Here is a 27,184-nt window from a genome sequence, read left to right as displayed (position 1 = left end):
TATTACTAAATTTCATTTTAATGTTATTAAAACATGAACAATAAAAAAATGAGGCTATGGGTATACAGTGCAAAGTCACAGTTTTTCTTCAAAATCCAAATGGCAATTCTGATTTACAGCTAGTGATGTATAAGATTCTAAGGACAACTAGATATTATAAATTTAAGATTCTATGTTCTATGTAAGAAAAGCTCTCAACTACAGAGTTTTGAAAATCTTAAAGCTACATTTTCTCAGATATCAGCAAAGAGGGAAGAGAGTTTTAATTTGAAGGCAGAGTAGAGATGAGGGTGCTGATGAGAAATGCTGATCCCTCCATTGTTACATTCTTTGGTTGCAAGTTAAGGGACTTGAAAATTGTTGACACAGTTAAGAAGGTTACAGAATTATTGCCCATTCTACATTGTTCTGGGGCTTGACAGAACATGAGTCTTCAGTATGTTTTTTCGATATTTCCCCCAAGCCCTAAAATTCACCCAAAAGAAAGAGGTCAACTTAAATGTGTAAGAAGAAGAAACAAATCAGTCCATATACAAGAGCACCTAGTCAGGAACATTAAACGGCAGCGTGCTGATGACCTCTCCTGACTCAGTGACGATGGCATCGTAAACCCACCGTCGGTTGCAGCGGCACTCGGGCCCACACTTGTTGGAGTTACACTTCGGGCATGGGTAGAAGCAGCCCAGGCAGTTCTTCTCTAGACAATCACACAGATCAGCGTCATTACAGATGAGCCTGCCACTTTTGTCATACTTCCTCATTATTCTACAAAGGAAAAGCATGACATTAAGATGACAGTGCAATCATCCTCAACATTGAGAATAAATTAATGTACAATCAACATCATACACATGACCATTTTACCCTGACCCAGAACTCCAGAGATTACCAGAAACATTGGTACTCTGGACCAGAACTCCAGGGATTACCAGAAACACTCCAGAATATTGTACGGCAGTGACGTCACGGGAAATTCAGTCAATATGAGATCAAACAACTTCCAGTGCAGCCAGGCTTGTCATCTAGAGTAACACTTCATTTTTCCAGCATTGCTGGGAAATGCAGCAATCTACCTAAGAAAATTATGAGGAATAGCTAACTAAAGCTTCCTCCTACAAATGCCCCCAAAGTTTTCTTTAAAATATTACCATTCTTGATAGATTTTTCCCTAACAGATTATTTTTTTCTTAAAAGCACTATGCTGAATGCAACTACCACATTTTTGTTACCTAAAATTAGAACTGTCAGTTATTACACCATAATCATTTGAAGAAAGAAAAGCACCTTTGCTAACAGTCTCCAAGTGCCATTTCTTCTGTTCCTTTCTGATTCTGCTTTTTACCCAGTGAGGAGGGAGAAAGGAGGTGACCAAGACTGGAGGATCATACATCGTAAGCTCTGACTGAAGGTGGGATGCTCTGTCCCAGAGGAGAGCCCAGAGTCCAGACTGTCTCTGTCAGCCTCTACAACATGGCCAGGGACAAAGGACTTTCACAGGAATCCTACTACCTTCTCAAACCCAACCATTTTGAAATAAATCCTTCAAAACTGAGTTGCTTCAAAACCTGAGAACAACAAAAATACCTCTGTATAACTGATAGCCGTTATTACCACTGAAGTCCAAAAGGCTGGTTGTCCTAAGCTAGTATGGCAAAATTATGTATAATACTCCTGCACCCTTTGTCCCTAAGCAGGCACAATGCCTCCTCTCCTTCTGTTCGCTAAGTAATATCGTTCCATCCTGTTCCTTTTCCTAAGAATGCAGGGAAGGGAAAGGATTAGTCATTATGTGTACTTGCTGCCTGATGATCACGCTTTAGCAAGAATGCCTTCTAATGAAGATTCACTTTTGAAGTACTTTATTTGTGGAATGAAACTCTTCCTAAGCAACCCCAGGAAATTTAGCGGAAGAGGATATTTTAAATCTATTATAAGAGTGATGGAGTAGATGGTCCTGAAATCAACCTATACCACAGGTCAGATTCTGTCCTCCCTTTGCCTTAACTCAAATATTCTCCTGTGTTGGTAAGGTTTTATGGTTTCCGGCCCATTTGATGCTTTTTTTTTTGGTAAAATCCTGAATTATACACATCAAATCATGCAAAATATATACACTACATGCACAGATAAAGAAGAATAAAACAAACTTCTGTGTGCCCACTGTCCAGCTTAACAAAAGAGTGTTACAGCAGTGAAGTCCTCTTCAATCCCCACCCATTGCATCCCTCTACCCTCCCCTCAAAAAGGAACTGTACCTTGATGTTATAAAAGTCACTTCCGAAGGCCTTTTCTGCATCTACGGAGATAATCATGTGGTTTTTGTCTTTGGTTCTGTTTATATGCTGGATTACGTTTATTGATTTGCATGTGTTGAACCAGCCTTGCATCCCAGGGATGAAGCCCACTTGATCATGGTGGATAAACTTTTTGATATGCTGCTGGATTTGGTTTGCCAGTATTTTATTGAGGATATTTGCATTGATGTTCATCAGGGATATTCGTCTAAAATTCTCTCTTTTTGTTGTGTCTCTGCCAGGCTTTGGTATCAGGATGATGCTGGCCTCATAAAATGAGTCAGGGAGGATTCCCTATTTAACAAATGGTGCTGGGAAAACTGGCTAGCCATATGTAGAAAGCTGAAATTGGATCCCTTCCTTACACCTTATACAAAAATTAATTCAAGATGGATTAAAGACTTAAATGTTAGACCTAAAACCATAAAAACCCTAGAAGAAAACCTAGGCAATACCATTCAGGATATAGGCATGGGCAAGAACTTCATGTCTAAAACATCAAAAGCAATGGCAACAAAAGACAAAATTGACAAATGGGATCTAATTAAACTAAAGAGCTTCTGCACAGCAAAAGAAACTACCATCAGAGTGAACAGGCAACCTACAGAATGGGAGAAAATTTTTGCAATCTACTCATCTGACAAAGGGCTAATATCCAGAATCTACAAAGAACACAAACAAATTTACAAGAAAAAAACAAACAACCCCATCAACAAGTGGGCGAAGGATATGAAGAGACACTTCTCAAAAGAAGACATTGATGCAGCCAATAGACACATGAAAAATGCTCATTATCACTGGCCATCAGAGAAATGCAAATCAAAACCACAATGAGATACCATCTCACACCAGTTAGAATGACGATCATTAAAAAGTCAGGAAACAACAGGTGCTGGAGAGGATGTGGAGAAACAGGAACACTTTTACACTGTTGGTGGGACAGTAAACTACTTCAACCCTTGTGGAAGTCAGTGTGGCGATTCCTCAGGGATCTAGAACTAGAAATACCATTTGACCCAGCCATCCCATTACTGCATATATACCCAAAGGACTATAAATCATGCTGCTATAAAGACACATGCACATGTATGTTTATTGCGGCACTACTCACAATAGCAAAGACTTGGAACCAACCGAAATGTCCAACAATGATAGACTGGATTAAGACAATGTGGCACATATACACCATGGAATACTATGCAACCATAAAAAAGGATGAGTTCATGTCCTTTGTAGGGACATGGATGAAGTTGGAAACTATCATTCTTAGCAAACTATCGCAAGGACTAAAAACCAAACACCGCATGTTCTCACTCACAGATGAGAATTGAACAATGAGAACACTTGGACAGAGGAAGGGGAACATCACACACTGGGGCCTGTTGTGGGGTTGGGGGAGTGGGGAGGGATAGCATTAGGAGACATACCTAATGTAAATGAGGAGTTAATGGGTGCAGTACACCAACATGGCACATGTATACATGTGTAACAAACCTGCACATTGTGCACATGTACCCTAGAACTTAAAGTATAATAAAAAAAATTATATATATATATGTATATATATAAAGTCACTTCCTTGTTTTGGTCTTAGTTATGACACATATGTAGGTATCCCTAAACATATTGTGATTTTCCTTTTGTAATTTGCTTTGTTAGTCTGATCATGAGTTGAGATTCTTCCATGATGGTACATGTAGCTGTTCAAATATTTTCACTTCTATATGTATTCCACTGTATAAATATACCACAAGTTATTTATCTTTTCCATTGTTGATGGACATTTGGATTATTAACAGTTTATTTTCTTTGCTATTTCAGTGATGCCATGAAACTTCTTAAACATATCTCCCTATACATGTATTAGACTTTTTCCAAGATATTAATTTATACTCAGGAGTGAAGATGTTAGGTCATAAGGCACATAGGTAACACTGAGCTGTTTTTAAATAGTGGTTGTACCTTTTTACACTTAATTCATATCTCATAGCTTCATCAGCTTTGATGTCAACAGACTAAATTCTGACTCCCTGGGGAGTATGGCACTTCTATGTATGTGCTGATCAGGTTCGGTATCCTGAATGTTTATTTGTTGTTTCCTCTATGAAATGTCTGTTTATCATTTTATTAATTTGTCTATTAGGATATTTACACTTTTCTTATTGACTTGTAAGATTCTTCATATATTTTGGATACTGATTTTTTATGTTATTAATAACTTCTCCTACTTTATGGTGTGTCTTTCACTGTTTTTATGGAGTTTTTAATGGGCATATTAATTTTAATGTAGTTAAATTTATCATTTTCCTTTATAGTTTTCTTAGTTTATTATTTTTTATTTTATTTATTTATTTATTTATTTTTTGAGATGGAGTCTTGCTCTGTCATCCAGGCTGGAGTGCAGTGGCATGGTTTCGGCTCACTGCAACCTCCGCCTCCTGGGTTCAAGCGATTCACCTGCCTCAGCCTCCCAAGTAGCTGGGACTACAGGCGCGTGCCACCACGCCCAGCTAATTTTTTGTATTTTTAGTAGAGACGGGGTTTCACCGTGTTAGCCAGGATGGTCTAGATCTCCTGACCTAGTGATCCACCCACTTTGGCCTCCCAAAGTGTTGGAATTACAGGTGTGAGCCACCGTGCCCAGCCAGTTTACTTAGTTTATACTTACGATGCACTAACAATCATTGTACTTGATGATAGTCCTGTGCCCATTTAATATCCTGAGTTCATTCCCATGGTTATATTATTTATCCTTCTAATGATACATTTTTGTTACTTTTAAATCATCTTTCCTACTAAAGCCATTACTCTATTACACGGCTATTGAAGCCTTTTTAAAAAATCGATTCCTAATTCGGGATTATAGTCTATTTTTCTGTTTCTTAAGGTTGCTAACGTCCAGACACATGGGTACTATTATATTTCAGAGGAGATATTTTTAAATAATAAATAATAAAAAGAGGGAATCTTTCATTGCTTTGTCAAGGAGAATTCATGCATTTCATAATCCCACAGATCAAATACAATAAGTCAGAATCTTACTTGTATTTGGTAGAAAAATATTCATTCATCTTTGACATCCGGGCTTTCTTTTTCTGCTGCCTTGTTTCAGGATTAAAGTCTGCTACCTGTGGTCCAGGGTTTCGAAATGCCAAGCATTTTAACTGCCGCTCTATTTGTTGCTATTAAACAAATAAATGTATTAATAGTAAGAACCAGATAGTTTTATCTGTTTTACATTTCCCCAAAATGAACTTTCTGTAACTTTCACCATAAAGGCATGAAAGTATATATGTTTTACACAAAGACATAAACGATTTAATCTAATTAAGTTTCAAAAGATGGTGTACATTTTCTCAAGTTGGGCCATTCTTTCTGAATAAAGAAATAGTATAACACTCATAAAATAAAAATGTAAAAAACAATCAAGGGGAATAGAAGAATTCTTTTTAAAACCGCAAAACGCCACTCAGCTTTCCAAATCTGATGGGGATGCACATCAGAATTAGCATTTGATGTGGGTAAGGATGAAGGAGTAGAGGCCCTTCCTCGGCTGTTAGCTAAAGAAGCCCATGTAGTGTCTCAAACCACAGTGAGAACCCAAAGTAGATCCGGCACTCCCCTTCAGTGCCCTGGGATGCATTTCGGAGCTACTCCCTACCCGGGACTGGCCTCCACGCGGGGGGTCTCCAATTCAGAACTCAGCCACCTGAAGGATCGACTTTCAGTCAAAGCCAGATTGGAACAAGAGAAATATTGCTAGGATGACTTTCTAGGGCATACGGGGACATTTTCAAAAGTCTCTGGAGGTTTTTTTTTTTTCCTTTCTTTTCTTTTTTTTTTTGAGATAGGGTCTCGCTCTGTCACCCAGGCTGCAGTGCTATGGCATGATCATGGCTTACTGCAGCCTCAATCCCCGGGGCTCAAGTGATCCTCCCACCTCAGCCTCCCATGTAGGTGGGACTGCAGGCACGCACCACCATGCTTGGCTAATTTTTGTGTACATATGCAGTAGAGATGGGGTTTCACCATGTTGCCCAGGCTGGCCTTGAATTCCTGGGCTCCAAGGATCCACCATCTGCCTTGGGCTCCCAAAGTTCTGGGATTACAGGTGTGAGCCACTGTAATTAGAAATTAGATGGGGCCTGAGCTGAAAGACAATTAGAAATTAAATGGGGCCTGAGCTGGAAGACAAACAACAAAATGCTTCAATCGAATATTGTACTGATAACTTATTGTGAACATGTAGCACATGTCATGAGGGAAGAAAATGCTCTTTTGAAGGATTGTAGAAGAAAATAATCTCAGAAGCACAAAAACATATAGGCTGACATATACATGAAATACCCCACCTGGAAACAAAAGGGAAGCTTTCAATGTAGGAATTTCAATGTAACAAATTAGTAACAGAATGTCATGGACTTTTCTGCAGTTTATTTAGTTTAATAAGAGTCTAGTAAGTCTAAAATAATATAATGTTTCTTTTAAATTTCATCTTGGTGTATATGGTTGTTTCATAAACTTAACCTTAAACTGTTCTGCATTAGATATGGTTATGACATATACATACAACTTAGTACGAAGCGATTACTATTCTAAGTAGCACAGCAAGAGGTTAAGAACAGAGACCCAGGGTCACCTGCCTGTGCTCAAGCCTTGGCTCTGCCACGTACTAGTGGTGGGCCTTGAGCAAATTGCTACATCTCTAGGCCCCAGTTTCTCTCTTTGTAAAATGGAGTTAACAATAGTATGGTGTGATAAGGATTAGATGAGTTAATACATACAGTTTTAGAGCCATAACGTGACATAATAATAACAAAATAAAGGTTCATTAAATAAAAACATTTGTAGCTTTTTTGTCCGACATCTTTGCAAGGCTGCGGTGTCTGCTGCTACTCTCCGAGCTTCGCAATGCCGCCCAAGGACGACGAGAAGAAGGACGCTGGAAAGTCAGCCAAGAAAAACAAAGACCCAGTGAACAAATCCGGGGGCAAGGCCAAAAAGAAGAAGTGGTCCAAAGGCAAAGTTCGGGACAAGCTCAATAACTTAGTCTTGTTTGACAAAGCTACCTATGACAAACTCTGTAAGGAAGTTCCCAACTATAAACTTATAACCCCAGCTGTGGTCTCTGAGAGACTGAAGATTCGAGGCTCCCTGGCCAGGGCAGCCCTTCAGGAGCTCCTTAGTAAAGGACTTATCAAACTGGTTTCAAAGCACAGAGCTCAAGTAATTTACACCAGAAATACCAAGGGTGGAGATGCTCCAGCTGCTGGTGAAGATGCATGAATAGGTCCAACCAGCTGTACATTTGGAAAAATAAAACTTTATTAAATCAAAAAATAAAAATAAAAATAAAAACGTTTGTATATATTCTCCACAAAAAGCAGAATTTTATTGTACAGAACACTGGGCTAAAAATCAGGGTACACAGGAGGTGGAGAGGAGATGTGTGAGGCGAGAGCAGCCCGCAGTGAGCAGTGGGGAGGAGGGAAAGCTCTATCAGCCTGGGCGGCAGAGCTCCTCCCTGTGAGGTCCTGCCTGGGCCCACCTTCCCACCCACATCCATGGGCATCTCAGAGATCCTCGAGGGGGCACTCCCCAGTAGCATGGAATCATAGAATCTGTGTGCCATACCAGTTGTTTCTGTCCAATTTGACAGTTCTTCTCAGGAAAACTATGATCTGTGTGTCTCTCTTGAATGGAATTGTTTTTCTCTGATTGTTCATTCATCTCTGATCACTTAAAAAGTAATTGGAAAAAGTAAAACATATTAATATCATCTATCTCCAGTAACTATATCTGGTGATTCTTTTCTACTCTCCCTACACGTCTCACTTTATTCAAAACCAGACTGTATCTGTACTCCCAGAACCTTTTCTCCCACTCACTGTTAAACCTTGCCTCTGACTCCCCCAGACCACCCTACTGAGGCTCTCCTCTGCCGGGGGTTCCAGGAGAAAATCAATAGTACCTTTGACAGTCCTTAGCATCATAAACCTCTCTTAAGCAGGATTAAGAAGACTCTGAGTTTTTAGAACTCCATTCTTCCTTCTTTACACACACTCTTGAAAGAAAAAGTATGATACGTTAATGCCATATGTACACAGTAATGTTGTGAAAAGCTCATCCACTCTCATGGTTTCAGCTGACACCTCTTCATGTATCATTCCCACAGTGACTCCCCAAAGCCTTGATCTCCTCACTCAACTTTTCTGATAAATTTCTAATGCAGCTTGTGCTAAATGGTAATCAGGTTTTCATAAAACCCCACTGCTAAAATGCCTGTAACTTACTTCTTCTAAATTACTTCAGTAGTATATATACAGGGTGCGTGCGTCTGTGTGTGTGTGTGTGTGTGTGTGTGTGCATGTGTGTGTGTAAGAGAGAGAGAGAGAGAGAGAGAGAGAGAGAGAGATGGAGCCCATACAATATGGTAATCATGAGTGACAGTCCAGGGCTGGTCTGCAATGTTCTATCAGAAAACACCACTCTCCAGAGGAGGCTTCCACAGGCCCTGCTGTTTTCCCTGATTCTCATCAACTACCATTGCTGACTACAGGGTGCCATTTCTACTGAAGTAACTTAAGAGTTAGGCGTTATCATGTTGGCTTGACTCATTTAGCATCACCTCTCTGCTGACCAATTGGAAATTCCAATTCTATCAGTGGGAAATCTCCAAACTGCTCTCGACAGTGGCTGGACTAATTTACATTCTCACCAATAGTGTGTAAGTATGCACCAAGGAATACCACGCAGCCATAAAAAGAACTAGATCATCTCTTTTGCAGCAACATGGATGCAGCTGGAAGCCATTATCTGAAGTGAACAAATACAGAAAACGAAAACCAAATACTGCATGTTCTTACTTAGGTGGGAGCTAAACGCTGGCTACACATGGACAGAAAGATGGCAACAATAGACACTGGGAGCTACTGGGTGAGGGTAAATGGGTTGAAAAACTACCTATTGGGTATGATGCTCATTACCTAAGTGCATTATCCCCCTGTAACAAACCTGCATATGTGTCTAAAATAAAACTTGAAAGAAATAAAATATTCACATTCTTTTAAAAATCACCTTGTTATTTCTCCTTATAAAATTCAAACAATGGTTCTCAGGAAAAGTAAATAACAGCTATTTTAAAATGCATATATTCATAAATAGAATTCATAAGCAGATACATATGTATACAAAATAAACACATTAAAGGCTCAGTGGTGAATTTAATTTTGTTTATCTTAACTTTTCAGTCTTTGCATTTGCTGCCATAATTTCTACTGCCATTATTTTGGAGAATTTTAATTTATTTTTTTGGGTGCGTTAAGTAAATACTTGGGGCTGTGAAAAAATGTAATTTATAATAACTGTTATTTCTAATTGGAAAATACAGTGACACTGCCATAAAGACTTATATGTGGTGTTTTATAGCACTGCTGGAGTTTCTTACTGCCCTCTCATAGCCAACTTATCTCTCTTTTATGGTCCTTCAAACTATTTGTTGGCTTAGCATATTATGAATGAAAGAAAGGACACATTTAAAAGATCACAAGGGCAAGGAGGGCAAGGGCTGAAAAACTGCCCATTGGGTACTTAGCTCTTTACCAAGCTAATGAGTTCCATCATAATCCAAACCTCAGTATCATGCAATATGCTTCTGTAACAAACCTGCACAGGTACTTCCTGATTCTAAAATAAAAGTTGGAAAGAAAAAATAATTAATTTAATTTAATTAATTACACTTTGTCTCCATCAGTTTTTGCTTTGATACTCTCACATGCAATGTCAGACCTGATCAGCCAAACATTCCTATGAAGAGTTTTTCAACTTGTAGAAGATAAAAATCATATGGAGCTGTTTCAAAAATCACTAATTTTCTTCTGAATCTCAGACCTACTGAGGTTGTAATTTGCAGGAAAGAATCTGGTATTCTGCATAATTAATAAGCTCTCTGATGAACCTTATCATTAGGCTATTAAAGGAAATACTAGGGTAGGAAAAGTAGGTATAATTTTCTCCATGTAGTCTTTCCATCTGATGGTAAAACTATTGCCCATATAGATGGTCCCTGACTGAAGATGGTTTGACTTAGAACTTTTTGACTTTATGATGGTGTGAAAGCATGCTCCTTGATTTGCCATGGGCTACGTCCAAACAAACCCATTGTAAATTGAAAATATCATATGCCAAAAATGCACTTTCTACTTTAAAATATTTTGGGTTTATCAGTACATAACCTGATCATAAATGAGAAACATTGTATTATCTCCCCCTCCCAGACATCATAATTCATTTAATACATTCCAGCCCTGTTAATATTCTGAAATCAGGAATCTCTTTATCTCATTCCTATTAAAATACTTCAATGACTCCTCTCTGCCAATAATATCCCATCCCTCTGGTATATCAGTGAAGGTTCATCATAGCCATCTCTAACCTTTATAGGCTCATCTTCTGTCATACCCACACTTGGACCAAAGTTACCTGATCCCAGTAACTTTGGTCGAGGGATCCCACTCGAGTTGCCGTAGATGTCAAAGTTTTACTTATGTTCATCACTTCTTCAAGATAACAGTAGCTCTTAGACATGCTACTAGATCTTGCTTGATGTGTTAACAGTTGGGCACATGTATTACTGTCACAATATTATGATAAGCGTATTTCAGTATAATTGGTTTCCTTTCTCAGCTTACAGGTTTTATTTTATAAAATTAAAAATAACATTCTGAGAAATGGTCCATAGATATCACTGTCTGCCAAAGGGATCCGTGACACAAAAATAAGATTAAGAACTGCCAAAAGGCAGGGAGAACCTACTGCCACCATCTCCACTGATGATGGTGATGAGAAACAACAGTTCCCAGCTCAGGATCATTTAAACTATACAAGATGCTCATCTTCAAGCAGGCTAGAAGCCATATGTATGCTAAGCTATTGCATTTGATGGGGATACAAAAAGTGTGAAATCAGGTTAATAAACTGATTTGTCCTGACATTGTGTCAGATTGCCTATGAAAGACCCATAAAGTGTTCTAACACAAAGAGAAGAGGCTCCCCCAAGCATCAGACTCCTAGAGCAGAGCTAGTCAAAGTGTGATCTGAAGATGGAGCAACTGTTTAGTACCCGTATGGGGAAAGAAAACAGGCTTGGGTCAGAATAGAAATCAACCGCTTCATTAAGCACGTTGGGTAGTGTTGGGGTTTTAAAAGCAATATCTCAAAATGAAGGCTTCGGAAATAGCCTCAGAAGCAAAACTTTCTCTCTGTCTTCTGCCCTCTTATCTCTCAGCCCCATTCTCTTCTGAGGCTGGCCATAGAAACTAGAATTCCTCTTCCCCAAGGTGGGTTACAGAAACCAGCACCCCTTTTCTCCAAGGCCAGCCATAAAACCTTAAAATATTACTCTAACTTTTCCTCCACCCTATCTGTGTAGAAACTGACCATAAAGAAATCATCAATATCTGACCTACCTTGTTTAACTGTAGGTCATAAGACCCATTCCAGAGAGGGTCCTGCCTTATACCCAGAAGGAAGGAACACATGCTCAGAGAGTCCAGGGAGAATGTAGAGACAAGGGACTTGCTGGGTTTCCCCACTCGGCCTTTTAGCATTAGATCATACATTCTCTGGCCAATCATAGTTCTACACAGCTGTCTATACCTTGTTGAACCTAAGCAGTACAATTTTCTGTATTTTACAGCTGAGGAAACCAAGGCTCAGAAAGAGTCATTTGAGTCACAAAGATACTAATAGGATGCATGGGTTTGGATGTCAGATTTAGGTGACCCCCAGTACTATGTCCTTTTAAGGATACAACACTGCTCCAAGATTTATTTTATTGGTGATTACCATCTCTACACAGAAGCCTGGGGAAGGAATAGGAAAGCATGCACTTTAAATAATCTCAAGTTTTCCTCCTTCAGCTCTTCTTCAGAAACGCAACACTCAAAGGGTATACTAGGAAAGAAAAGCCTCCCGTTTAGGGCACATGAGCCACATCTGACTTCAGGATTGGATTCTGAAGAAAGTCACTATATTAGTCTTCTCAGGCTGCTATAACAAAATATCACAGACTGAGTGGCTTAAACAACAGACATTTATTTCTCGTATCTCTAGAGGCTGGGATGTCCAAGATCAAGGTGCCAATTGAGTCAGCTTTTGGTCAGGCTCTTTCTGGCTTGCAGGCTGCCTGCTTCTTAGTAAGTCCTCACAGGGCCTTTTCTTGGTATGCACACAGAGAAAGACAGGCTGTTTTCCTCTTACAAGACCAGCAATTCTATCAGATTAGGCCCACACCCTAGGACCTCATTTAAACTTAATTACCTCCCAAAGACCCTATCTCTAAATATAGTCATGCTGGAATTCAGACTTCAATTATGAATTTGGAGAGGACACAGTTAAGTCAATAGCAGTCATATACAGATGAAATTACCCTTAAAAATCCCTTCAGAAAATGCTACAATGAAATAACCCAACATAGCCAGGCATTTCTTCAGCGCTGGAACAGATTATCATTCCTTAGGGTCAGCATCAGATGAAGCAGCTGGCTTATACATAGGAGCCATGATGGCTGAATTATCTATGATGGATACATGATGTTTACTTTTAAGCCTCAGAATACCACACCCTGGCAAGGTGTGGAGGCCTCAGGAACCACATCCCTTGAGGGAATGGCACCAGGTCCATACCTCTATCTTCACACTCACTCTGAGGCACAGGTCATTGAGCGACACTCCAGGCAAAATGACTCATACGTTTATCACTTCCATTTATGTTTAGGATGCTGTGGCAGGTAGAGTTGAATTTTCATCAGTTGATTGTGTCTTGCATGGGGTAGAGTGAGTATTTTTCCATCATTACCCCTATGGACACTAGCAAATTATCAAAGCAAGAAACGTTCCATTTAAATTCTAGCCTAAAAGTTGGTCTCTGTTCTTACTCACAGCAGATAATGCCACTTATTCAGGGACACTATCTGTAAGATATCTCTTGGAATATATTTAGAAGTGAAAGATACACACACATATATACAAGACAAGAGAGTCAAGCTATTTGAATCTCATTCTGTCTCTAGTCTGAGTTCCTATACTTGCTAAATTTATAGGTCGCTGAGATAATTGACAGGTGAGTCAATCCCACCAGGGGCATATCTGGTAGAGAGAAAGGACGCCTGTGCAGGTGGTCAATTAAGTCATTCCCTTGCTGCCCTCTCCAAGCTGTTTCAGCTGTTTTCAAAACCACAAGACAATAACCTCTAAAAAATCTCCACTGCCATTTGTCCTTTAGAATTAAAAGTACTTTGATTTAAGCCTTTGAGAGTGTTGTTAGATAATCAATGTTAATGCTCTAGAAGCAACTTTATCTACAGTATCCACAGATTCCTAGCCATACTTTTGTAGTTGTATTTTCGTACACATACACACACACACACACACACACACACACACACACACTTCTGTGGGTCTATATGAAACAATGTGAAAATACATACAGTATATTTAAAATAATTTGAAAGTGCACTCAGCAGAGAATTTCATCATCTGTGGAACACAATGCCACCACATAGTTGCTATTGCTAATGCCACGAATGCTACCATCTGGCATCACTTTAAAACCAACTCCCTTAAACGGCCTGTCTGGGTCACTGACAGATCAGCATCTAAAAGGGCCTCTCTACTACACCTTATTTGTACTATGGATCTGTTGGATTATACATTCAAATTATTTCTTGCAATTTTAAGGTTTGTGAAAAACCAACCCCTTCTGTTTACCCCCCTCCACCAATGGAGAGTGGAAAAGGATGAAAACTTTTATGAGACCAGAATACTGTGCCATTTTCAGCATTAACCTGGTAAATATATTCAGCATTTTCCTGATAAACATCCTTCAAAAGCACTCACCTCAAATATTTAAGTGTGGAGATTCTTTCTTCCAAATCCCAATGGCCCTATTATGCTCATTTCTTAGTTTTTATTTTTATTTTCATTTACACTGAATTAAAGGAACTCCAATTATCTTTCACTCTTAAGCATAACACACGAATATAGCAATATATATTCAGAATCTACATGATGTGGCTTGTTTTTCCTCTTCGTTCTCTACTAGCCTCAGAGGGCATCGGGTTTAGGATGCATCATTTGTAAAGGTGCGCCTTTCAAATGATGAAGTTTCACAGTTCTATTACTCCCTGCTTCTTCATGTGAGTTGCCTCATGAAGACGAACTAGTAGGGTGGTAAAGAGAAAGAACACATACCTTTAAGTTGGATGAAAAAGAAGGAAAGAATACTGGAAAGAAAGGAAAACTGTACTGCCTTCTTTCCTTTGTTTTGCTGAGAAACCATAGAACCCTCAAGGGAAAATGAGAAGGCCTCAAAGGTGCTTCTACAGTTTAATGCTGTATAATAATGGCTGGGACGAGGGGAGGTAGAAAATGAAGGAAGGGATGGATGTAAATGTTAACTCACTCTTCCACCATGACTCTATTCTAAAATCATATGAAATCGGATTATGAGAGTTCTCCTTCTCTCTCATCTTCCATTCACAATAATCAGTTAATCTAGAGTTAAGCTTTTACTCTATTGTTATATGTCAACTTCAAAAGTTTAACTAATACTAATACCAAATTGTCCCCTTTGCTATTTTGTACTTCAGTGTAAATAGCACTAATAGCACTACATATATATACATATATATATACACACACATATATACACACGCACGTATATATATATAATGTTTTTCTTCAGTGTTAAAACCATTTAAGTAAAAGCTGTTTTCCCAAGAGAAAACTAAAGCATGTTTATAAACAGTGTCTAAGACGTATACTAATCTCTAAATTACCACCCTCTAAACATTGTCCTCTGCCACCAGGGTTTGGATATTATGTTGTGAGTTATTAAAACCCACTTCACTGGCAGGTTAATACTTGCTCTGTTCACTCGTGAATTATAGGGTAAACACTGCTATTTCATTACTAATTACTTTTACCGCAAAGAACAAGGAAAGGAAACAAAATCTTCAATTATAAGAGCTTGCAACCCATCTGGCAATGATGCAAAAATCCTAAGGTGGTCCCAGAATAAATATATTTGACCTGAATGTTTATGTATTAAGCCACTGCTATATTTTTGAGATTACACAGCAAATTTTGCATAATTAAAAATGTGTTCCATCTTGCCAGTTCCAGATTGATAAAATGCAAAGCTTGTAAAAATCCTACCAGACTTTTCCACAGTCAATCACTTCCTACACAGTAAATTCTTTGGCCAATGTTTGACCTTGCTTTTAGACAATTAGCTGGAGAAGGGAGTTTTGCTAATGTACTACAGCAACACTGAAATACAACAAAAACATCAAGGGCCGAAGGCAAAGGTAGTAATGCTCTTAAAACTAGACAGAGGAAAATTTTCCAAAAGATAAGGTTTGTAACCAACCAAGAAAAGTCCCAACTGAGAGGTTTTTTTAAAATTAAAGTGCCAAGAAATAACAGTGCACCACGGCACTGAACCTTACTTCCTTTTATTTTTCTAATTCAAGTAAGAAACTAAGTCATACAAAATAATTATCCTGTATTATTTACAAGTTTCTGAAGCAACACTTAATATAGTTTTTGAAATAATGGTTTAACTAATAAAACTTCAGGAGAACTTTATATCACTTTTTAAAAGATAATTTCCTTTTAAAAGACTGAAGAGTATTTTTCAAAGGTAATAATACCTCATTAAATTTGCAAGTCCAGAAATTATTGACCTTTTGACATGATTTTTGCTATAAAATTATATTTTTTCATCTTCAGATATTCTCAGGTTTCTTAGAGAATAAGTTGAATGTAATGTAAAATTGGTTGCTTTTTCAAATGAAGGATTCACATACTAAAGCACTCCTTAGTTTACCCTTTAGTTCTCAGAAAGTAAAACCTTCATGCTTATGAGTTATGAGTGGTATTATCAGGTTGGTGCAAAAGTAATTGCAGTTTTTGCCATTACTTTCAATGGCAAAATCGCAATTACTTTTGCACCAAACTAAATTTATTTTACCAGTTTTTAGCTATCTGTATATTAATTTGGAGTATACTCTGTACTTAGAAGTGACACAATTCATAAGCTTATCCATTGCAGCACTGTTTATAGCTGTGAAATATTCAAATGCCCATACACAGGAGAGTGGTTGAAAAAACTATAGTACATCCCCAAGTACCGTAGTACATAGTACATGTAGTACTACGCAGCTGTAAAAAAATAGAAAACAGTAAGGGAGATCTCTATAGAGTTATATAAGACAATTTCCAAAATATATTGTTAAATTTAAAAAGCAGAATACAAAGAGTATTTATAGGATACTATCCTTCATGTAAGGAAGAAGGATTATAAGAAAATTCTTACTGCAGCCAAGTAATTTTAAGAAGTTCTATATGATATAGGGTCTGGTTTATGAAATAATTAAAAAGTTGCTGGCTTTGGAAGTTATAAGTATCCAGGGAGGGGCTACAGTAGGAAACTCTCTAGCTTTATCTTCCTGAAGCTGTTAGCATCTTTCTTAGCACTTACTGAACAAGCTCTCACTGGGCTGCTCCAATCCTCCAATTGAAAGGCTCCAAGAAGAATAGCCCTTATTGTCTGGGTACTACTACTTCTGGTTTGCTGTGGTTACTGTTTTAACAAGCTGCTGTTCTACTGTGAAGGTGTTATGAGTTGTATTTTTGAAAAGGTACACTTTCTAGTGGGAGTCATCATGGGGGTCCAGAAGTGGATGGCACTGATATAGAATACTACAGACCTGAGCCAGGACCAGTAGCTCCTTCACTGGATGTACTCAAGGGTATCTATCCACACTGCCCTTCAGATAAATACTTCTTAATGAGCCAGACAATGTGCCAATGATAAAAGGGCAAATAAGACACAGTTCCTTTCTTCAAAGTGCTCAAAGGTCTAAAAGAAGAAGATATGTAATCAAATAAGCACAAGATGTGCATCACAAGTACTCAAGGCACTGTGCAGCTGAGAGGGGCAGAGCGGGCGGAGGGACTAGTGTGCTGTCCCTGGGAATCAAGATGTCAAGAAAGACTCCTGGTCAGACATTGTGGCTCACACCTGTAATCACAGCACATTGGGAGGCCAAGGTGGGAGGATTGCCTGCACCCAGACATTCGAGACCAGCCTAGACAACATGGTGAGACCCCCTGTCTTTACAAAAAATAAAAAAATTAGCCGAGCATAGTGGCTCATGCCTGTAATCCCAGCTACTCAGGAGGCCAAGGCAGGAGGATTGCTTGAGCCTGGGAAGTTGAGGCTGCAGTGAGCCGTGATTGAGTCAGTGCATTCCAGCTTGCATGACAGAGTGAAACCCTGTCTCAAAAAAAAATTTGTTTTAAAAAAGACTGACTAGAAAAGGTGCCAATTAGTGAATCCTGAAAAATGCACGGGGAAAAACTCAGGTAAAGAGGGAGGGAGAAGGACATTCTAAGTGAATGGAGCTGCTGTGAGCAAGAGTTGAAGGTAGGAGAAGTCTACAGATTTCAGAGGGCTCTAGTGGGGGTGTCAGGGGTTGTCTAGGCTCTGACATGGCTAAACTGCAAAGTGCACTCCAGTAGCTTCTGTGTGTGTATATAGACTCTAATGAGCATCATTCCCAGTGACAAAAATGGAGTGACTAGCAGGTAAGTGAAATAAAGTCAACAGAGAGGAGAGTAAGCAGAGTTATGCAATTTCAGGACCTCCAGCAGCTCCATTTTGGAAAATCATTAAAGCAATTTAAAAAACAAAGAAACAGAAACAAAACAAAAAAATAGGATAAAACTACTTCAGTGTTTTCCCCCAAAACTTCCTTGTAGAACTGGCATGCCTTATATGCCAGTAAATAAATACATATATTTTTACATATTGAAAAATAATAATAAAGCAGTGAAAGTATTCTATATGATACTTCAGCAGTGGATATATGCCATTATACGTTTGCCAAAAGCCATAGAATAGAATGTAATAGACAAAGAACTAACCCTAAAATAAATTGTGAACTTTGTCAATATTGGCTCATGAATTATAACAAAAGTACCATACTACTGCATGATGTTAATAATCAGGGAAACTGTTGGGGGATAACAAGAGAATACATGAGAACTCCCTGTGCTTTTTGTTCAATTTTACTATAAAACTAAAACCTCTCTAAAAAATATTCTATTGTGTTTTTTGATGCACAGCATAAAAACTTTTTTTTTTTTTTGAGAGGGAATCTCGTTCTGTCTCCCAGGCTGGAGTGCAGTGGCGCTATTTCAGCTCACTGCAAGCTCCACCTCTGGGTTCATGCGATTCTCCTGCCTCAGCCTCCCGAGTAGCTGGGACTACAGGCGCCCGCCACCACGCCCGACTAATTTTTTTTTTTTTTTTTGTATTTTTAGTAGAGACGGGGTTTCACCGTGTTAGCCAGGATGGTCTCGATATGACCTCGTGATCCGCCCACCTTGGCCTCCCAAACAGCATAAAAACTCTTTACACAATTTCTAATTTGAAACAGAGAGTGGTATAAGTGAAATAATATTCAGTTTAATTGTTTTATATTAAAAGAATTAAATTATTTTCCTTATTTTACTATTATTACTATTATATTTACTATTACTTTTAACACAACTATATGCTAATATTGTGTTACTACTTTGACTTACTAATATCGTCCACTACGTCCCAGTCCTAGGACACATTTTGTTCTTGCTGTATCTAACTGTGCCTTTATTCTCTTTTCCAGAAATGCCTTCCCGTCACTCTTTAATCACTCCTTTAATGCCTTCCCTTCACTCCTGTTATATACCAAACGGCTATAATTTCTATTAATTTCGATTATAGCCAAATGGCTATAATTTCTATTATTGTATATAAATTCTATAATTTCTATTATAGCCATTTGGTATATAACAGGAGTGAAGGGAAGGCATTAAAGAAGTGATTAAACCAAATGCCTATAATAGAAATTATATATAGCCATTTGGTATATGTCAAAAGCTTTAAAATAGACATTATCTTTGACCCAGCAATTCCTCTTTGGGAAATTTATTCTAAGGAAAGACAAAGATCTTCGCAAAAATTTAGCTACAAGAGTAAATCTTGTATTAATTCCTAGGTTTCGAGTTGCTAAGTTGGGAGAGTAAAAAGTTTGGCAGCAACTTAATAGTCAAAACAAAATAATGTGATATGAAGTAGTCATTAAAATAATGTTGTGGAAACATATTTGTTAAGAAGGAAGATCAATACACATTATTATTACAAAAGCAGATCTGAGAATGTAGAGAGTTTTAAAATTTGTCAGACAGTTTAGTAAATCATATTTTTCTAGGAATGTAATCATTTCTTCTAAGTTTTCAACCTTATTGGCATAAATTTGTTCATTATATCATCATGTTATCATTGATGTCTGCAGCATCTGTAATTATCTAATGTATTCATAATACTGTTTATTTGTACCTTTTCTCTCAGAGATTTCTCATCTTCTCAAAGAACTAAGTTTTAGCTTTCTTGTTTTTTTTTCTATGTCATATTCTTCTAAGAACTTTGGGTATATTTTCATGTTCTGTTGTTCTAAGAGGTATGTTTAGCTCATTAGTTTTCATTCTTTTTTTCCCCTTAATGTGAGCATTTCGGGATATAAATCTCATTAGGTTCTTCCCTGCCTGCCCAGCTTTGTATCATCTCTCCTTTTATCATATCTCTATCTTTGATTTGATCACTTGTTTCAAAGAAGAAGTGTTTTCTTAATGTTTTTGTTTCATGGAGAAGTTTTTTTGGTCTTTTATTCTGCTTTGTAGTATATTTGTTCTTCTATGTGTCCCTTACCAGCTATTTGATTTTCCTGATACCTTTGTAGAGATCCCATTCTGGTTCTTTCTGTTTAATCTGTGATCTTTGCTTGAAGGCCATCCTTTCCAAGCACCTATTTGTTGAAGGATGATAGGAGGAGGGCCTGGGGTCAGGAGTGGATGAATTTAAGAGAGCAAGTGGTTAGGTGTGTTGACTTGGGAGCCTTCCCACCAAACCCTGTTCGGGACCTGACCTTCTGCCCCAGGCTTACACTCCCTCCTGGGGTACAACTGAGTCTAAAATGTTTCCTGTCCTCTTGTGGATCAAGACCAGTAACTGCAGAGCTGACTGCCACCCACCTTCTTCCCCCACCCTGCTACCAGACAGCAAGGGCGGTTTGTCTGTGCATTTCCTCATTCTGCTTCATTTCCTCCGCCACCCCTGGGCCCCAGGGACTCCCTGAAAGGCTGTCTGGGGCTTGTAATTACAAAGTGTTACAGGTTTGGCCTCTCATGGTGAGCCACTTAATTTTGGAAGGTTCTGCCTCCCATTAAAGATCCACAGAAACATGTATTTGCTCTCAGATTTCTTTTACAACTGGGTCCAAATTTTGTTTTTTAGAAGTAGTTAGTCATAGAACGTGCTTTTCAGAATGTGCTCTATTTCCTCAGTGCATTGAATTTTCATCTTTTTCACACCCGCCCTCCCCACCCCATGTTTCCCAGGCCAACTTCTAACCTAACCTGGTTTCCCTGCCTTGAGTCTTTTTAATCTCCACACTTCGCTACTGAAGTTATTCTCCTTAAAATTCTTGTCTGCATTGTGTCACTTTCCTCCTCCAAAACCTTTGTGGTCCTTTGTGGTCCTCAGCATGATATTTTAGGCCTTGCATGACATGACCTAATTCTACCTTCCCAGCCTCGTTGTCACCGCATCCTTCCATTAGCCTGACACTAAATTCTAGCTAGAGTGCAAGAATGTTCCCACTTCCAGGACCCACTTACGCTTTCCCCAGTGTATGTCTAAAATCACCATTGTGTAATCATCCCCATTGCCCAGTTAGAATAAGCACCTCTGTTTCTATGTTTGCAAGCTTGTTCATAGTTATTTACACACTTGTCTCCCGTATCAGCCCTCTCCCACTTCAAGGCAGGATCTATATGACTCTTCATTTCTATGGCATCATCTGCCACAGCAACTAGGACATTGGTACTCATGCATACCCACTAATAGAAAGGATCAATGGCACATTTTTCACTGTGAATAGTAACTTAGTGATCTGTTTCCCAGGAGTCTGAGCAATATAAGGCACTTTTTTTTTCAGGTTCTAACCCACTCCGCCATCCCTACCTCTCCTCCTACCTTGCCCTGTTAAATTGGAGCATAATATTCCTGCTGTGCATGATAGGCAATGCAAACCTTAAGGTTCACAAACACAGCAGTGACTGAGAGCATTTTCTCTCCATGAACCTTACATTTGCAATGCATCCCCTCTTCCTGCTATTGTATAACCTACATCAATGCAGTGTTTATCTCAAATTGGTGTTAAAATAAAAACCACCAACTAAAACCAAACAAAGTACATTCTTGTGTGCAGGTAAGAAAACAGTTAGATAGTAATCATAGGTATCTCTGGATTTTTTATACTTTATCATTTCCTATATTTACCCATTTCCTGTAATAAGCATGTATTTCACAATTTTTAAAGTTATTAATATTTTAAAAATACTTCTAAGAATAATGTAGAACTCTCTTGTATGTGTGAAATAACTATGTCCAGCAGATGGCACAAAACCCCTAATCCAGAATTAAAACAGTTAAAAACAAACAAACAAACAAAAAAACTCTTGTTACTTGAAGAATGCCATGTGAAGGGCATGTATCTTAGTGACCAGGAATGAGCCAAAATGGACACTGCTTCCAGAATCTTCGTCTCCACTAGGTATGATTTGTTTATCTCTGTTATAGTCAAAGGTGAGTCATTTCAGAGGTAAGGAAGGGGCCTCTGTGATATGCAGGATGTGTGGGACCTGCAGAGGCTTCAGGGCAAGATGGACTATGCAGAACATTCTCGAAAAGTGGACAAGCTGTGTGTCAATGCGGTGTCACATCTGGAGAGGGCTTTGGAGACCATATAGTCCATGTGTTTCAAACATTGTTATTACCATTTTTTTCTAAATAAACTTCAATGTATGAAACCAAAAAAGTGAATCTCTCCTATTTAAAGCAGGGGATGGGATGGGAGGCAAGAGCCATGCTGGGCCTTCTCTTTGTCCCAGAGTAGCTCCACCCCTTGTACCTGACATAGTCAAGAACTGGCTATACTTAATCAACAATTATGGAAACCATAAAATACTTCCAAGAGGTCCCTAGAGAAAACCCCTAATGCAGTGGTTTCATTTTACTGCTGAGAAAAGGGCTGCTCAGAGGAGGAGAGTTGCAAATTAAAAATGGAAAAACATATAAAAAGCAAAAAAAAAAATCTTTAATTGCCTTTAAAGGAAAACATCAAAAAGAATATTCAAAATGCATCAATAAATTTAGTACTGATGTTTTCACAAATTTGACATCTGAAACTGGAATTTATGATATATTAAATTTCTGGTATTTTAAACATTGGATTCACTTAAATCTGTTTTATAGTTACAATGGTTTATGGAAACTACAGGAAACAGCATTTCAGCTAATGTGAGGTTTCAGGAGACATGTAAGCATATTTCTAGGTTATATTTTTGCAAATGAAGTTTATTTATATCAATAAAATATCCTTAGGTTGTAATTCCTGCACATTCTATAATTTTTCAATGCAAGTAGAAACCCAAACAGTGACTTGACCGCATGAAGCTAGTCATTTTAGAGCTTCTATAAGCCCCTAAAAACATGTCTAAATAATGTTTGCAAAGTAGATGCAACAATCTATTTAAATGCATTTACCTAAAGTTTCTTGTCAGAACGAGTCCAAATTTAACTATTCTTATAATTATCTTGGAAATTTTCCTTGTTTGGACATCCATTTCTATACGAAGCACTGCCTGTTATTTCCAGGAGCTTCCCACTTGACACTGTATTATTTCTGGTCTACGGAAGATGTATGTGTTTTAGAAGCTTTCAGAGAGGCTTCTCAGAGTGTAATGGTATCTTAACCATGTCCTAAATTAATAAATAAAAGGAAAACCCAAAGGTGAATGGGGTTTAGCAGTAGAGAGCATGGGTCTCAAATTCTAGCTTCTGCTTCTGCTAGCACCTTAAGCCCCTATTTCCCCACGTGTTGAGGTTAGAACAATTATACTGACCTGAGTTGGTGAGTAAGCCATTGTCTCTCAATTCCAAAACCACCTTTTAATGCTCTGCTTTGTGATGTTAGGACTCGGACTATGTAAACCACATTTTGGCTTTGCCAGCTCTGCCAACAGGGGTGTTGAGGGACGTGGAAGGTTGGAAGAGAAAGAAGGTGCTTGCTTGCTCCTTCCTGTTTGCTTCCAGTTTCCGTCGGTATCACCCCAGCAATGGTTTTTCCTTCCGGCAGTGGCTGTTGAATTCCAGTTCTCAGGATTCTTCCCTCAGTCTCCCAGACCAGCTTAGTATGTTCCCCACAGAGATACCAGCGGCAGCTGGCCAGAGCCTCCTCCTCAGAGGTCTGAGTCCAGCTCCAAGGGGCTTTCCTCTGAGTTTTTGAGGCAGCAGCCCCAGTCAAGTTGACCCTCTCCTTGAGGTCTGGATCCTGGCTGGGCTGAGCCCTATCTCTGAGATTCTGAAGCAGCCACACCAGCTTCTAGGTTCTAATAAATCCACCTCCTCCCTTGTTACCCCTACCCTAGAAGTGCTAGCTGTTTCTTGTAGTTCCTGCCTCGATGTTTTCTCAGCCTTACTCTTTTGTCATTTTGGTTCTCCAATACCCATTCCTTGTAATCAGTTCGCAGTCAAAAAAGCCGATTTGGTTTCTGATTTCCTGACCAACTATAGAGAATTCTAGGAAATAGATTCTCAAGATAAGATTCTGAGCTTAGGCTTGATCATGGCTTTGGCCTTGAATACAGTGCTGACTCCCAGTACCCCCACGATTAATGAGCAATCACTGTGGTTGATGACAAATGAAGTACCTACTGAAGCAAGTGTCCTCGCGGACCAAGTGGCTGCTTTGTTTAACCATTGTGAGGATAATATGGTGAGATAGCTATTTTGTGTGCACTGGAGTGCTTAGGAGATGAAAATGACCAGCTTGAGACATGGTCAGAGAACCAGAAAACTTCTAAGGCAGCTGTAAAAGAGTCTCTTAAGTTTTCTAGCTGCTCTGCGGGATATATCATTACAATGCAAGTTGAATTCAGAGCCTTGCCAAGGCTCAAGTGCAAGCATTAGAACATTGATTGGGAAGGAGAGAGATCCTGAGATTTGGAATAAGGACATCTGGGTGAAATCAAACAAAATGAAAATCTTATACTCCTTCATCCAAACTTCTACATTCTAGTAACTTTAACCTTTGCCCATTATTCCCCCGTTTTGAGACTGAGAACTAGTTCCTGAGCTATAACTTGGGGTTCTTCTTTTGTTTTTTCACTTCTCTAATACTTGTTTAACAAATCCTTAACATTGAAATCTCTTTGCTAAAACAAACAAACAAAATTAGTCTGGTTTCTGTTTTTCTAACTGAAGCCTACTGGACACACTGCCTCATAGGGGTATTTTGAGGCTGAGACAAGGCATATATAGCACATAGCTCAAATGGTATATCACCCACAGAAGACACTCAGCAGGTAGAAGAATTTTCCTGCTGATCACATCTCTTCCCTACTTCGTTGTACTACTTCTAGTTGAGCAGGTCAAAACTTCTCTCTGAACTTATTTATAAAAGGAGGTAACATTTCTCTAAAAATGGGGGTATGTGTTGGGGGAAGTGAAGGAAAACATCAACCTTGTGAAGAAATAAATAATACTTCATTTCTAGTGCTACTACTAGTACTTTCATCCTGCCGCCCTCTCACAGGAGTTCATAAATACTGAGGCCACCCTCTAGTGCTAAGTGATCAGAAAGGCCTCCTGCTCACTATTGACAAGTCAAAGGAACACTTTCTGGAAGAAACCATAGGTATTCTCTGTTACGGGGCATTCTCAGGACAATCTCCTAAATGAACCCTGAGAGCCCTGGCATCACTAAGGATTGTCCCTACCCAAAGGAAATGATGGGACTAACCGCCTTTGTTGATCTCAAGTAAGACATGCTAACACTAAAGAACTATTTTCAAAGACAAGGTGATCATTTCACAGAGGATAGAAAACCCAAAACTCTCACAAACCCCATGCTTAGAGCCCCTTTAATCCTCTGATGTGTATCTGTGAATCCTGAGAGTCTAGGACTCATCACGTCATCAAAATAGTCCACTTTCAGTAGAAACCTGAGAGCAGAGAAGGTGACAGCCTCATCTCATTGCTTGGCATTGTTTGTGAGAGAAAGCAAAGAAAGTGAGGAAGCCTTTATATCGTGCTATTTCTTTTCCATGGCAATCAAAATAATTAAAGCGCAGTTCAGCTGAGGACAGGCAAGTGTTCACATACACACTATTCCCACAAACATATACTCTATTTTAAATACACACACAGCCTTTTTTTCACGAAACAAACTTTTTAGCAAACAAAATAAGTTATAATATACTTTTAAGAATATAGCTTGGGTAGAAAGAGTTTGTACTAAAAAGCCTGCAACTTATTATTTTGAAAATCTTGATCCAAGGATCTACATTTTTAAAATAGAGTAGATAATATCTACCTGTATTTTTCATTTTTTCATTCTGTGCCTCTAAATTCCATTTAGAATTTTGAAGTCATGTTGTACCACCCAAATCAAGATAATTTTATTCATCTAGTTAGATTTTCTTCAGTGAAAAAATTACAGGTGATCTTAATTTATGATGAAGTTATGTCCCCATAAGCCTATAGTAAGTTGAAAATGCATTTAATGCACCAAACATCATAGCTTAGCATAGTCTACCTCAAATGTTCTGAGAACACTTACATTAGCCTCCAGTTGGGCAACATCATCTAACACAAAGCCTATTTTATAATAAAATGTTGAAAATCTCATGTAATTAATGGAATACTACACTAAAAGTGAAAAAAATAGAATAGCTCTGTAGGTACTCAAAGTATGGTTACTATTGAATTTGTATCACTTTTGCACCACTGGAAAGTATGAAAATAGTAACTCAAACCACGGTAAGTCGGGGATTTCCTGTAGTAAAAGGAGGTGGTAATATGTACCTAGCAGAGAGTTGTTATTTCACTTCTACTAGAGTGTAACAATTAAGAATACATAGCTATAGGCCGGGTGTGGGGGCTCACACCTGGAATCCCAGCACTTTGGCAGGCTGAGGCAGGTGGATCACTTGAGCCCAGGAGCTCAAGACCAGCCCAGGCAACATGGTGAAACCCCATCTCAACTAAAAATACAAAAAATTGTCCAGGCATGGTGGTGCACACCTGTAGTCCCAGCTACTCAGGAGGCTGAGGTGGGAGAATCACCTGAGCCCAGGAAGTCGAGGCTGCGGCGAGCGGAGATGGCAGCACTGCACTCCAGCCTGCATTGACAGACTGACACCCTGTTTCAAAAAAACAAAAACAAAAACCACCACAACAAAAAACTCAGAATACACAGCTATGTATCAGGAATTATATGCTACCTTCCAAGGTCCCCAGTGGATGCCTGAAACCATGGATAGTATCCTACTCTATATACACTACGGTTTTTCCTGTACATATGTACTTAAGATAAAGTTAATTTATAAATTAGGCACAGTAAGAAATTAACAACAGTAACTAACAATAAAATAGAACAATTATAACAATACATTGTAATTAAAAATATGCAAATATGGTATCTTTCTCTTTCAAAATATCTTATTGTACTGTACTCACGCTTCTTATGATGATGTAAAATGGTCAAATGGCTACGTGATGGGATGAAGTGAGGGCAATAACACAGGTATTGTGACGTAGATGGAAAATTCCAGAAATAAACAACTCTTAAGTTTCAAACTGTGCACTGTTCTGAGTGGTGCGATGAAATCTCTTGCCCTCCTGCTTCGGCCCACTGGATGGCAATGAGTCACCACGTA

General features: G+C 38.7%; 1 protein-coding gene and 1 pseudogene across 3 annotated transcripts; one reads left to right on the top strand and one right to left on the bottom strand.

Moving 5' to 3' along the window:
• On the bottom strand, positions 1 to 27,018 carry ARL14EPL (ARF like GTPase 14 effector protein like). Of its 3 annotated transcripts, NM_001393974.1 has the most exons (5): positions 26,985 to 27,018; positions 8,266 to 8,358; positions 7,929 to 8,033; positions 5,337 to 5,476; positions 1 to 765 (listed from the first exon to the last, which is right to left on the bottom strand). In NM_001393974.1, the coding sequence occupies exons 3-5, from the start codon at positions 8,022 to 8,024 to the stop codon at positions 543 to 545; spliced, it is 459 nt and encodes a 152-aa protein (NP_001380903.1). In that variant the 5' UTR covers positions 8,025 to 8,033; positions 8,266 to 8,358; positions 26,985 to 27,018; the 3' UTR covers positions 1 to 542. The 3 variants fall into 3 exon arrangements, with proteins under 3 accessions (NP_001380903.1, NP_001182510.1, NP_001371953.1); NM_001195581.2 differs by lacking the exon at positions 8,266 to 8,358; NM_001385024.1 differs by lacking the exons at positions 7,929 to 8,033; positions 8,266 to 8,358.
• RPS25P6 (ribosomal protein S25 pseudogene 6) lies at positions 7,148 to 7,626 on the top strand (annotated as a pseudogene).
• Positions 27,019 to 27,184: the final 166 nt, after the last annotated feature.

Source organism: Homo sapiens, chromosome 5 (assembly GCF_000001405.40).
Source record: "Homo sapiens chromosome 5, GRCh38.p14 Primary Assembly".
NCBI lineage: Eukaryota > Metazoa > Chordata > Mammalia > Primates > Hominidae > Homo > Homo sapiens.
The sequence above is the reverse complement of the archived record's forward strand: the minus strand, read 5'-3'. Positions and strand labels throughout refer to the sequence as shown.

Bases quoted from the DNA above. Each gene is read 5' to 3' on its own strand.
- ARL14EPL (NM_001393974.1), bottom strand. From the start codon at position 8,024: ATGAATGAACAATCAGAGAAAAACAATTCCATTCAAGAGAGACACACA. The intron at 5,477-7,928 runs GTATGGCACACA...TTTGTTTAATAG, and splicing joins AAATTGGACAGAAACAACTG to CAACAAATAGAGCGGCAGTT. The intron at 766-5,336 runs GTAAGATTCTGA...TTTCCTTTGTAG, and splicing joins TATTTTTCTACCAAATACAA to AATAATGAGGAAGTATGACA.